Source organism: Homo sapiens, chromosome 6 (genome assembly GCF_000001405.40).
Source record: "Homo sapiens chromosome 6, GRCh38.p14 Primary Assembly".
Lineage (NCBI taxonomy): Eukaryota > Metazoa > Chordata > Mammalia > Primates > Hominidae > Homo > Homo sapiens.
Genome location: NC_000006.12, coordinates 671,323 through 685,601, shown reverse-complemented (window position 1 = coordinate 685,601; position 14,279 = coordinate 671,323). Strand labels below are relative to the sequence as shown.

The following is a 14,279-nucleotide window of genomic DNA, read 5'->3' as shown; positions in this document are numbered from 1 at the left end:
GTTATATGGTAGAATTTGTGGCAGTGCTAATGTAACTTGCACTTGATCTCACTCAGGAAGTGTGGAGTCTGTGTTTATAGAGAACTGGGGAAGAAAATCACCATTTTCCCGAACCCTTTCCCCAATATCTCTGGGCAATCCCTTTGGGTCCAGCCCAACCCAGCCCAGCAGGGACAAGTCTGTCTTAGGTTAGGTTGGGCCTGACTCTAGAAAGATTTGGTGAATTCTCTACTTTGATTATATTTTATGGTGCCCTGAGAGTTGGCTGAGCCTAATTTTACTGTTGAAACTCACTAGGCAGCTCTGCAACAGGATTCTTCTGGGGTCCTCTGGACCCAAAGTGGTTCTGGACAGCTAAGGCTACTGAGATTCTGCTTGATTTGTTCCCTGGTGATGCCAGTGCTGCCAGGTTGAGGCATATATGGGGAAGGGTGGACGTTTGGGAGGGTTGTGTGTGTGTGTGTGTGTGTGTGTTTTCAAATGATTGTGGGGAAAATCACCTTTCTATAGTCTGATCTGTTAGCGAAATAGTGTTTTCACATCATGAGGCCTTCCGTGGCCTGTTGAGTAGAGGTTATCCTAGTCTTCAGTGAGTCAGAACTTCTGTATTTTTCTGGTTCCTGGCCTTCTCTAGCTGAGAAGAACATCTGGGAGCATGACAAGGTGAGACCGTGATCACTCATTTTGTTCAGATTTCTTGTCTGCTGTTGAAATCAGCGAAACTCTTCATTACTAAATAGTAAAAAGTACTGCTTTTATGATTCTAAAACTACTTTCAGTTGTGGTTTCATTTCTGATTTTTTTCTTTATATTATTACTGCTAACTTTTTCTGTGTATTTTTAGTCTGAAGTTCTGTGAAAAATGACAACTTACTGTCTTTTTTTCTAGTAGTAAATATTTTGGAAAATTAAAATTGTGCCACAGTTTTAATTTGAGAAATTAAATATGGGAAAATTATAGAATTAAAATTTTCTGACTTCTGTTGCAGAAAACACTTTAAATCCATCCCTGTATGCTTCATTAAAGGAAAAGAGGCAGATGGTTTAAAATTAATATAGTATATCTATAAGGAAAATGTATTTACTTAAGTGTACAGTATAAATTGTAAGAAAATGTGGCCTTTTGTCTTGATTTTAGTGAAATGCTTTTGTAATAGTAATTTTCTCTTTTGACCTGTGATGGATAGGAGGTTAATTGATGTTAAATGGATGCTTTGTTAATCCTTCATCAGCTACTAAATTGGTATGGGGGAGTACAGGTCAAGACTACACAAGGCCATGACCAGCTTGTTTTCTCAGGGAGGTTTATGGATTCCACCCCTCCCCCTTCTCTAAACCACACATCACTCTCTCCAGCTGCACATAGGGAAGACTCTCCTGTCTCCCCTCCCCCTCTTCCTGCGGTCCTGTCTCCCCCTCCCTAACCTCATCCTTCTCCCTCTCTGGGCTGCTGCAGAGTGACAGCTTGTAGATGTTGCGTGCGAGGGAGTTCAGCTGGCGCTGTGTGGTCCGAGTGTGTGGTCTCCCGCTCAGCCGAGAGGCTGCTAACAGGGTGGATGAGAGAGAGAGCAACACTGTTTACTTTAATTTATTTCGGATGCCGGAATTGTGCCCAGAGTTTCTCCTGAGCTTGATTCCATAGCTAGCAGCTTCAATCCTTCGCAGCTGCGGTGCGTTCTGAACTCTGGGCTGTCCTTTCCTGACAGGCACTTTCCATAGCATCTGCCTGCTTAATCCCTCACGGCTCAGAAATGTTAACGGCACTGTTGAGTGCTGTGATTATTTTGCTTTCACTATGTCAAGATTTATGGCCTTCGAGAAGCTTCTTTTGAGATAGAGCTAGAGAAGGAAAGCAGAATTTGTAAGATCAGTGACAAAGTTGATGTATTTTTGGAAATTGGAAAAGCTATTATACAAAATTTGGGTCAAATTAATCCAACTTTGCTCATATAAAAGAACCTGGGAGTTAGCGACATCCTGTCATGTTTAACAGTTTTAATGAAATTAACCAATTTAAGCTGACGGTTGGTTTCTTGACCTTTTCTGAAACTCTGCATTGATTTTGGCATGCCTGTTTACCATAGTTATTATATTTGTCAGCGGTGATATTGGTTTATTTCATCCTAAAGATTTGACAAGTCGAGACAAATGAAACTTTGTTTTTATGTAGTAGTATAAATTTAGGAGAATATCTTTTTATCCAATCCTTTCATTATGAATAGCTTAGTAATATTTTCTTGATTTTGTTCCTCTCTCATTCCTGAACATTATTGTTGAGATGGTCAAGTATTTTGTTATTTGAATAAACATATGTAGACTCTTGATATCACTTGGGATTTTGCATTGTTTAGCTTCTTTATTTTCATGTCTTCCTGGCAGTCTTGCTGGAATGGAGTTGGTGGTGTTGATGTTTGTCAAGGATTAGAAAGTCTAGGCCACTCACATCTTCCCGCAAGGTCAGTCTGTTTAGCTTGGAGTTGTTCTGCTGCTTTATTTGCTACTCTTCACCCTGGGTTTCAGTACCTGAGCTCTGTTTCCATCACTGCGAGGGTAAAGCTTTCTCCTACCCTCCTGGTACCTTTTCACTCCTCGCCCTGGTGTACCTTTGCCTCAACTGATCTGGAATCAGACTTCAGGAATTTAGTCATGTTGGGCACTTTTTAAAAAATGATACCATCCTGTATTTCTTTTTGTGTTCAGTTTTTTGGGGTTCTGTGTTTATGGTGCTAATGATGTTAAACTAATGCTCAGAGGAATTCTGAAGCACAGTTATTCACAAAGTTGTACAACCATCACCATTATCTAAGTCCAGAACAGTTTCATCACACCCGGAGAAAACCCTGAATCCATTATCAATCCTTTCCCACTTTCTGCATCCATGGATTTACTTATTCTGAACTTTCATATAAGTGGAATCATATATGTGGCCTTTTATGTCAATTATGACATAATATATGCATAATATTGTTAGTCATTACTGTATGACTTTTACCTAGGAAGTGAAAATTCTTTGGAGAGAGAGAGAGAGGAAAAAATACTGATAAATGATGGTTATAGTTAAGTAATCATGTGTGGAAATGAACTTGTATTTTAGAAACTCGGGGCCGGGCGCGGTGGCTCACACCTGTAATCCCAGCACTTTGAGAGGCCAAGGCGGGCAGATCACGAGGTCAGGAGATCTAGACCATCCTGGCTAACACAGAGAAACCCTGTCTCTACTAAAAATACAAAAAAATTAGCCGGGCGTGGTAGTGGTTGCCTGTAGTCCCAGCTATTCGGGAGGCTGAGGCAGGAGAATGGCATGAACCCGGAAGGCAGAGCTTGCAGTGACCCCAGATCCTGCCACTGCACTCCAGCATGGGTGACAGAGCGAGACTCCGTCTCAAAAAAAAAAAAAAAAAAGAAACTGGGAAATATTTAATAGGAACTGCGGAATGGTCAAGGCTTGTGTTGGATAGAAGTGCCCTATGTGTGACTGGCTGTTAGTCACCAGCACTTTTCTGCAGTGCTGTGTCATGCAGGTTCCTGTTCCCAGCCCTTCTGGAGTTTCACCAATGCCGGTGCTAATTGGTTGTTTAAAATTCGATGTAGAACTCTAAATGAATAAATCCTGACTGAACAGATTCCCTCCATTTCTACCTTAGCTTTTACTGGGCAAAATCCTCCAGGAGTTAGCAGTGAGCAGGAAAAGGACCAGGGTTTTGCTCTCTGGTAACTAAAGGGGGAATTATCCTCCAGAGCAGTTGATTCTCTTGCAAGGGCAGAGAAGCAAAGTATCTGTAGAACCACAGTACCTTGACAGCACTTTAAAAACCCTATTTCCAAGTGCATTTCTGTGAAAACAAGGTTATCTTTAAGAAAAAGATTACTACCTTTATTTGCACTTTTCATTAGAACTGAAAAGTTAGAATTGTTTTATATATTCTCAGTACTATCCCATTCTCTTTTATGGCTGGATTTTTTAAATGGAAAAATCAAGCTTAAATGAGTTTTGGCCTAGTTTTTATAGGACTAAAGGATAGTTGAAAAACAAGTTTCTCTGGTAACTTTCATTATAAATATCTTAGTAATATTTTAAAATTTATTAGGGGCAAAACTCATTTTGGTTTAAACATTTAAAATACTTCTTTGGTGGGGGGAGAAAGGAGACACAGCATTAAAGATCTGCACCTACAAATTAGAATTTCTGGTTTTCGTGTAATTCTGTGTGGAAGCAGTAATAGAATATCAAACTTTTCACCTCTTGGACCTTTCAGTTAAAGGTCAGATTTGAACTGGACCTCTTGTCACCCAGAGGTGACCGATAGAAAAGGAGTTGTTCTGCTTAGATGTTTGGTTAATTTGGATTTATCTGATTGTTTTCCTTAGCATGAATTGTATTGAAGATCAGGAGGAGCTGTCACAGGTTGATTGTGACCTTTTAGGATGTAATTAGGGCACTCAGGTTTTATAGTGGTTTTGGCAGTTGCTCTTGTGACCAGATTTATTGGTTTAAAAGACAGTGCATGGCACACAGTACAGAATCAAGGAATGGCATCTGTCCTGTGAAACAAATCTAGCTGACACCCCTCTCAGAAGCCGCATCTTATAGCTTCTTATGGCAGGAATTTCACACAGCCTTTTGAGGTCTCTGCTGCTGTTGTTGAGGAGATGAAAGAAGAGCCCGTGCATCCCCAGATCTGGTCAGCCCGGCCACCGTTTCACTGAGTGTCTGGCACTGGACTAGACACTAGAGTGAAGAAAGAATATGATGACAAGCCCAGGCAAGCCCACTGAAGATTGCTGGCAGAGAGCTTGGCACAGTAACTTTTTTTCATCCCTTTTTCTTTAATGTAAAGGATACTATCATTTGTTATAATCACTTTCTTAAGATAGTTAATTTACAGGAGAAATGAGCACCACCCCCAGCCCAAAAAAATGCATATAACTCAGAGCTGCCAAGAGGAAGCCTCATGTGGTCAGCGTTCTTAAGGAGACCCTCTGCTGCCTGGATCTCCAGCCAGCAGCTGCCCTGCAGGGCTCTGGAAGTGGGCTATTCTGTGTGGTCTAAGGCCTACCTACGTTTCTAAAACATGTATATACATGCTTATTGCCACAGGGAAGGCAATGTAAAAATATTTAAAGGCACAATTTCCCTGGCCCCTCCACCCTTCTCCAATCTCATTCTCAGGATAATTGACCCCTGGTGTGCATCCTTCTAGCCCTTTCTCTGTATTCATATAAGCATAGGCCCTTGTTTGTATAAAGGTAGCTTTTGTTCTTCTTTTTTAAATGGAAACATTGATTGGGTCCTGATTCTAACACATCAACTGCAAAATAACTTTTAGACCATATGAAAAAATTGACCTGGGGCTGGGTGCAATGTCATTTGTAGAGGTACAAACTAAGTCATTTATGGATGAAATGATACAATGCTTTAAAGAGCTCCCTCAACAAACAACATGAAAGTATGTTGAAGGGGAGAGGCAGCTAAAACAAGACACAGAATGTTGAAGCTGGGTGATGGGAACTTGGAGGTTCCTTATGCTAGTCTCTCTTATGTATGTTTAAGATTTCCATAATAAATAAAAAAAAAAATAGTCATCCGGAGTATAGCATAGAGCAAGGGTCTGGTTTTGAATCCCACCTCTTTCACTTAATAGCTGTGATTTTTGACAAGCTATTGAATCTCTGATAATCCTACCCTTGTTAATAAACCATTTGGCATTTTAGAATACTTCCTTCTAGGAACTTTTTCTGTACATCTGTCTGTTCATACCTATCTGCCTATTTATTTATTCGTATGTCTTTCTATTTCGCTAATTTGTTGTAAGTATTCTCTTGGTTTCGCATGTTTTTCATAATGTTTCACTGGCTGCATAGTTTCCTTGACTGAACCTTTACATTTTACTGGATGTTTTGGTGGATGTTTCCGTTTTTTCCCCGTCTTGCTGTAATACATTTTTGCAGTTATGGGAATCTTCATGCCTAATAGCAATCCCCATGGTTTGAATTATTTTAGTCATTGTTCACTTTTCAAGAATACATTTTGAGTCAAACTGTGGAAGCATGTCTAAGGCTTTGACACGTGGCCGAATTATTTTTCAGAGTATTGGAACAGTTGTGCTGCTGCCAGCGATCCGTGGGAGCTGTGTACAGATTCAGCCGACAACTATGAGCCTTCGAGATCATCTTAAATATCTTGTGTTGTTAATAGGCCAGCGGTGGAACCTCTTTTAGTTGATGTTTCTCTGAGGTTGGGTTTTGTCTTTATGTTCGTTGGTTGGTTGCATCTCCTCTCTTGTGAACTGTAAGCTTATACCTTCTCAATTTTTTTTTGAAGCTCTTGGTGTTTTCTGGATTGATTTTTGTGAGCTGTTTATATAATAAAGTTATTTGTATTTTGACATTTTGAATATATTTGCAGACTTCCTGTTTGGCTTTCAAATTTCTTATCTTTTATTTATTAACTTATAGAAGATGTATATTTCTTTATGGCTAGGAACTTAGTGTGTTCACCGTTGTGATTTTTCTGTCAAGTCCAAATGTTGTCCTTCCACCCCAACAGCTGTAATATACACTTACTTTATGTTCTTCTAGTTTTTTTAATATACATATAATTAAAATTATATGTATATTTGACTTTTTACATCACCAGGAATTCTTTAACTCTATAGATGTTTGAAGTTATGTAAGCAAGAACATTATGCTTTTGGAGTGTAACTGAAACATTTCTGGGATTGGAGTTAATATGCTAAAAATTAAGAGGCAAGAAAATAAAGCAGTAGTTTGTTTAGAATAAAATTCAGCTTAATCTTTGGCTGTCCTGACTACGGCCCATCATCAGTGTTTGGAATTTTCCCACCGTGTTATGTAGTGCAGTGCTGTGGCTTTAAAGAAGCACTTCCCCCTGTTGCCCTGGAGCCCCATGCCCTGGTTCTGGGAGGTAATCACGATTGTGTACTGTTACTATATTGTGTCAGCCCTCTCTGCCTGCTGCTTTCATCTTTCTTAAGTTATGCAGCACAAATCTTAGAATGTTTCTCTATTTTTTCTAATTAAAATACTTTCTATCCTAAAACAATTGAGGACCATTCTCCTAGAAGGTTGCTCACCCAGTCTCTGGCGTGTCAGCGCAGCTAATGACGCACCTGGCCCACGAATTCACTTACAGTTGGTTTTTGATGCATGAATGGTAGCAATACTAGGTTACTTTTATTTTGGCCTTTAAAGTTTGCAGAGATCTTTGGTACACATGATTCCATTTAATCCTTACAGGATTCCTGTGACATTAGTTATTATTCCTATTTTAAGATGAGAAAACTGATAGAAATTAAAGGGACCTGAATAAATCATATAGTTAGGATTTGAATTTCTGCCTTCTGACTCTTGGTTAAGTGTCTTTTCTCCCTCTCCATGGCTGAACAAGTTGATTTGTCTGGCAAAAGTGTGCTGTTAATGACACCAGTGTTCTTTACCCCATATTGGTCAATCCACTTTGCACTGATTAAAAACTGTTGGTCATGTCCTTCGTGCCAGTTAGCATCTCTCATTGCGTGCTCACGGTCACACTGAAGAACTGGTCAGGGAGGGAGGCACTTTGGGGAAAACAGTTCTTTTGGGGGACCCTTTTCATATGTGAGTGACAACGTGAAGAGTGTGTGTGTGTGTGTGTGTGTGTGTGTGTGAGAGATTATAAGCACAGCCCCTGATGCAAACTGCCTAGGTGTGATTCCTGCTGTGATAGTTATTGGTTGTGGAGTATTGGACAAAGTATTTAATGAGCCATCCTCATAGGAGAGTTCTGAGGATTAAAAGTTATTGCATGGCAAGAACATAGAAAAGTACTTGGATAAGGCTGGGCGCAGTGGCTCATGCCTGTAATCCCAGCACTTTGGGAGGCCGAGGCAAGCGGATCACAAGGTCAGGAATTTTAGACCAGCCCGACCAACATGGTGAAACCCCATCTCTACTAAAAATACAAAAATTAGTCAGGCATGGTGGTGCACGCCTGTTATCCCAGCTACTCAGGAGGCTGAGGCAGGAGAATCGCTTGAACCCAGGAGGCAGACTCCATCTCAAAAAAAAATTAAGTACCTGGATAAAATAAGTCATCAATGTTTGCTTAATATCTAAGATATATTATCTGTTGATTGATGGCTAGTTGTGTCCTAATGTAATTGGTATTGTTTCTGATTTTATATTGAAAAATATTTTAAATAAAGGCAAGAGCCATGTTTATTCCTACATATACCACCTCAAATGCTAACTGTGCACTAAACACAAAAACTTCAACCCACTAATGAAGGGGTCAAAATCCCTATAAAGTGTAATATGGGAAACCACAGAGTCGCCAGGGGAACCTGTCCTTTCCGTAATGTTGAAGAGTATGGGGAACCGCAGAGTCTCCAGAGGAACCTGTCCTTTCCGTAATGCTGAAGAGTATGGGGAACCGCAGTCTCCAGAGAAAGCTGTCCTTTCCGTAATGTTGAAGAGTATGGGAAACCGCAGTCTCCAGAGAAAGCTGTCCTTTCCGTAATGTTGAAGAGTATGGGGAACCGCAGAGTCTCCAGAGAAAGCTGTCCTTTCCGTAATGTTGAAGAGTATGGGGAACCGCAGTCTCCAGAGAAAGCTGTCCTTTCCGTAATGTTGAAGAGTATGGGGAACCGCAGAGTCTTCAGAGGAACCTGTCCTTTCTGTAATGTTGAAGAGTATGGGGAACCGCAGTCTCCAGAGGAACCTGTCCTTTCCGTAATGTTGAAGAGTATGGGGAACCGCAGAGTCACCAGAGGAACCTGTCCTTTCCGTAATGTTGAAGAGTATGGGGAACCGCAGAGTCTCCCGAGGAACCTGTCCTTTCCGTAATGCTGAAGAGTATGGGAAACCACAGTCTCCAGAGGAACCTGTCCTTTCCGTAATGTTGAAGAGTATGGGGAACCGCAGAGTCACCAGAGGAACCTATCCTTTCCGTAATGTTGAAGAGTATGGGGAACCGCAGAGTCACCAGAGGAACCTGTCCTTTCCGTAATGTTGAAGAGTATGGGGAACCGCAGAGTCTCCAGAGGAACCTGTCCTTTCCGTAATGTTGAAGAGTATGGGGAACCGCAGAGTCACCAGAGGAACCTGTCCTTTCCGTAATGTTGAAGAGTATGGGGAACCGCAGAGTCACCAGAGGAACCTGTCCTTTCCGTAATGTTGAAGAGTATGGGGAACCGCAGAGTCACCAGAGGAACCTGTCCTTTCCGTAATGTTGAAGAGTATGGGGAACCGCAGAGTCACCAGAGGAACCTGTCCTTTCCGTAATGTTGAAGAGTATGGGGAACCGCAGAGTCTCCAGAGGAACCTGTCCTTTCCGTAATGTTGAAGAGTATGGGGAACCGCAGTCTCCAGAGGAACCTGTCCTTTCCGTAATGTTGAAGAGTATGGGGAACCGCAGTCTCCAGAGGAACCTGTCCTTTCCGTAATGTTGAAGAGTATGGGGAACCTCAGAGTCTCCAGAGGAACCTGTCCTTTCCGTAATGTTGAAGAGTATGGGGAACCGCAGTCGCCAGAGGAACCTGTCCTTTCTGTAATGCTGAAGAGTATGGGGAACCGCAGTTGCCAGAGGAGGCTGTCCTTTCCGTAATGTTGAAGAGTATGGGGAACCTCAGAGTCTCCAGAGGAACCTGTCCTTTCTGTAATGTTGAAGAGTATGGGAAACCGCAGTCTCCAGAGGAAACTGTCCTTTCCGTAATGTTGAAGAGTATGGGGAACCGCAGTCTCCAGAGAAAGCTGTCCTTTCCGTAATGTTGAAGAGTATGGGGAACCTCAGAGTCTCCAGAGGAACCTATCCTTTCTGTAATGTTGAAGAGTATGGGAAACCGCAGTCTCCAGAGGAAACTGTCCTTTCCGTAATGTTGAAGAGTATGGGGAACCGCAGTCTCCAGAGGAACCTGTCCTTTCCGTAATGTTGAAGAGTATGGGGAACTGCAGTCGCCAGAGGAACCTGTCCTTTCTGTAATGCTGAAGAGTATGGGGAACCGCAGTTGCCAGAGGAGGCTGTCCTTTCCGTAATGTTGAAGAGTATGGGGAACCTCAGAGTCTCCAGAGGAACCTGTCCTTTCTGTAATGTTGAAGAGGTTTAAAGCAATGGGTTGATGGGGCGCCCATTTCTTTTAGAATGGAGAACACGTCTCTTCATGTACTCCTGCATGTCTGCGCACTATCACTGACCTTCCTTGATCATTTGAATAAATGAAAAAGAAAAGCAAAAAACAATGCTATTACCATGGCCAGTTCCCCCTAAAGTACTTAAAGGAGTTGAGAATTTCTAAATGTTTTTTGCTTTCTTTCCTCCACCCCCAGCCTGAGAGTCTCTTTTTTGGTGAAGAGCGAGAATTAGTATTGAGTCACAGTGGCTCAGAAAGGTTGAAAAGGGAAGACTTTTAAAATGTAGGTTTTATTATCAACAAGCAGGATAAGATTGTTGTTGAAAATTGTGTTACTCACAGTTCCAAGAGGGTGGGCAAGCCGCACCACACAGGAAGCACTGGGGGTAGGTCAGGAGGCAGAGGGAGCCAGGGAAAGCATGGGCCAGACCCTTTGTTATGGTTTTCCCGGGAAGGAATGGCTAGGCAGGGTAGGCAAGCTGAGCAAGTTTAGGATTGGATCATCTGAATAATTTTTTGGAGGGCTCTGGGCTGTAGGAGTGGTCCCTAGTTGGCTGGCACCTGGGGTATGTAGGGCTGGGGGCAGTGTCCCTGATTGGAGGAGCCTAATTGAAGGGTATTCAGACCAGGCAAGTAGTTTGTGACCTCTAGGAATTAGCCAGTTCTCAGAGGGGCAGTCCCTTCCCTGGTCCACAGGCTCCAAAATGTCAAAGCATCATAAAGCACTGACAACAAACAAACAAACAAACAAACAAACAAACATGGTTAATACAAGGGCCAGGACTTTTTGTACCACAGCTTTAGGATTTAGTAGCAGAGAGGAGAAAAGATCAGTACAGTAGTGTTTCTTATTGCCAAGGAGAAGAGGCATAAATTTGACCTAGAAAAGAGTATGAGAAAAAGCCTTTACAATAGCTTACTCATTTCTCCCAGCAATTTTTGAAATTATTGTGTTTTGCACATTTTCTTTGTTTCCAACATAGCTTACCCTCATTATTACTGCAAGGCTTTGAGAAGTGTTCACAGTTCATATTTAGTACAAGGTAATTTTTTTTTAACAGGGTACATGAACTTTTTTGAGGAAACATGATCCAAATGCTAGCTAGCTGAAAGAGTAAATAAATAAGTCACTTCCAAGGCTAAACAAATTCTGTCTTTATTTTTTTTTATAGAATTATTGAGGGAAAGGAAGTAATCATGTCAGCAGTCTTCATCATTCATTTGGAACCAACACTTGTTCTGTAATTATCATGGCAATAAAAAACTCATTTTGGCCTTATGTATTTTGGTATAATGATTCAAATTTGGCTAATTGCATGAGAATTATGATCAAGTTGGTATTTTTGCTTAATTTCTAGCTCAGAGTTTGTTAGTTTTGTTATTCTTTGAACCAAGCATCGTAATATAAAATTTGATTGAAAGTGTTGGTAGTTCTCAATTTCTCATTTTTGGATTATTAGGGGTTTGGAGAGTTTTCAGTCATAACTCGCTTAATTGCAGTTCGCTTTATTGTGCCTTGTAGATACTGCATTTCACAGATAATACTTTTTTTAAAAAAAGCAAAATGAAGGTTTGTGGTAACCCTGTATTAAGCAAGTGTCTCAGCATCATTTTTCCAACAGCATGTGCTCACTTCATGTCTCTGCGTCACATTTTGGTATTTCTTGCAATATTTCATACTTTTTAATTATTATATTTTTAAGTTCATTTGTGTTTCATATTGGGAAGGCAAATACAGATGAGAGAGATCCCTGCCAAAATAGTAAAAAGTTATATATTTTTTGAGTTTTGAAGTGTAAATCTGCTTTGTTTGGAGGTTTCCTCTAGGCAGAACCCCTCCTTGCCGATGGCATCTAGTAAATGAGGCCTTGGTGCATTATGCTGTACTTCTGAAAACATAGATCTCAAAATCTGTACTGTTAGAAACGTTTTCGCTCCTCCTCACCCTAACGAATCTGTTATTCCAAGAAATAGAAATCTTTTCTGTTTCCAGATAGTTTAAAAATTGCACTTTATATTTCTGAATAAATAAAATATATGACTATACACTGCTGCAGTTTCATAGCTTAACTTCTGTTAAGCCAAATACTGTTGAGGCTTAAGTGGTACTAATTTAATGGAACACTAACCAGTGCAAATAAAAGACAATTGTATTGTTATCTTTTTTCTTAGATAAATGTGAATTTTTTTTTTTTTTTTTTTTTTTTTTTTTTTTTTTTTTTGGCTATGGAGTCTCACTTTTGTCACCCAGGCTGGAGTGCAATGGCGCGATCTTGCCTCTGCAACCCAGATTCAAGTGATTCTCCTGCCTCAGCCTCATGAGTAGCCGGTATCCCAGGTGCCCGCCACCACGCCCAGCTAATTTTTTTGTATTTTTAGTAGAGATGGGGTTTCACCATGTTGGCCAGGGTGGTCTCAAACTACTGACCTCAAGTGATCTGCCCGCCTTGGCCTCCCAAAGTGCTGGGATTACAGGGCTGAGCCACCGCGCCCAGTCATGAATTTTAAAACAGAGTCTACAAACTTAATGAAATTTACCTTATCGTTTAGATCACATACACTAAAGCTCTGAGTAAATTGTAAAATGTACTTTAATTTTATAAGAATGCAACTTACTTATGTAAATATTGAAAACAAAGCTCTTGCAGTTTCTGGTCAGAGATGTAGGAGCTTGGAAGTCACCACTCGAATCCTCACAATAAGGAAAAAGCTAAACAGACTGAAAATCAGCAACTTCCCTTATATCCCTCAGAAAATTGAGGCCACAGGATAAGGAAAAAGCTAAACAAACTGAAAATCAACAACTTTCCTTATATCCCTCAGAAAATTGAGGCCACAGGGTAAACCACTGTCCCCTAAATGGGAGAGACAACAGGCAGATACAGAGCATCCCAACTTCTTAGTGCAGAAGCCTAGGAATGGAAGTTTCTGTGGGAAACCAGTATTGAGTTGCTTTAACCAATACAGCATATCCAGCTTTGAACAAAAAATTACACGGCAGAAATGAAAGACAAAAACCACATTTTGAAGAAACAGAGCAAGCATTAGAACCAGATTCAGGTATGGTGGAGGATGTTAGAATGATCAAACCAGCAATTTAAAACAACTATGATTATATGCTAAGGGTCCTAATGGGAAAAGTGGGGAACATGCAGCAGATAAGTAATGTGCACAGAGAGATGGAAACTTTAAGAAGGAATGAAAAAGAAATGGTAGAAATAACACTAACAGAAGAGAAGAGTGCCATTGATGAGCACATCAGTAGGCCAGACATAGCTGAGGAAAGAATCAGTGAACTGGAAGAAACATCAATAGAGTCTTCAGAAACTATAATAGAGAAAAAAGGTGGAAGAAAATGGAATGGAACAGCCAAGAATTGTGGGACAGTTACACAAAGTATAATGTATGTATAGTGGGAACCAAGAAGGGGAAGGAAAAAAATAACAGAAGAAATATTTGCCGTAATAATGGCTGAGAGTTTTTTGTAATTAATGATAGTCCCAGATCTGGAAAGCTCAGAGAACAGTAGGCAAGCAAGTACCAAAAAATAAATAAATAAATAAAAAATAAAAAATCTACACTTAGCATATTGTATTCAAACTGTAGAAAAATATAAAAAATACTGAAGGATACTGAAGGAAGCTGGGGTTGGGGATGAGATGGACACCTTACATAAGGGAGACAAGAATGGAAATTACATCAGACTTTTTTTCAGCAACCATGCAAACAAGTAAGGAAAAAAGACCCACCTACATAGAATTCCGTATCCAGTGAAATTATCCTTCAAACGTGAAGGAGAAATAAACTTTTTCCAGACGAAATTGAGGGGATTTATTGCCATTAGATTTGCCTTAACTATTAAAAGAAGTTAAAATGTTAAAAGTTGTTCTTTAGGGAGAAGCAAAATGATATAGGTCAAATACTTGGATCTGAAAAATTCAAGGATGAATTTTAGAGAAGGAATAAATGCAGTGGCTTCTGGGTTCCCTCCCCTCAGGTCCTGGCATCTGGCACCATGCCCAGCACCTACACCCCACATTCATGCTGAATGATACGGATGTGGAATGTAATGAATTGTTGGCTTAAAAAACAAATAGTTTTTCTTTTTTTGTTTTTTTTTGTTGTTGTTGTTGTTGTTTTGAGACAGTCTCA

At 40.5% G+C, this 14,279-nt stretch overlaps 1 protein-coding gene across 18 annotated transcripts in view, besides 2 other annotated features; it reads left to right on the top strand.

Moving 5' to 3' along the window:
• Positions 1 to 14,279, top strand: part of EXOC2 (exocyst complex component 2) — a 207,986-nt gene that overhangs the window by 7,538 nt on the left and 186,169 nt on the right. The window lies entirely within an intron of this gene.
• Positions 733 to 812: an enhancer, noted in NCBI's record as "active region_23858". NCBI's record gives its function as "activates an Ori minimal core promoter by ATAC-STARR-seq in GM12878 lymphoblastoid cells {active_cell/tissue: GM12878}" and the evidence as "EXISTENCE:reporter gene assay evidence [ECO:0000049][PMID:35858748]".
• Positions 1,572 to 1,651: an enhancer, noted in NCBI's record as "active region_23857". NCBI's record gives its function as "activates an Ori minimal core promoter by ATAC-STARR-seq in GM12878 lymphoblastoid cells {active_cell/tissue: GM12878}" and the evidence as "EXISTENCE:reporter gene assay evidence [ECO:0000049][PMID:35858748]".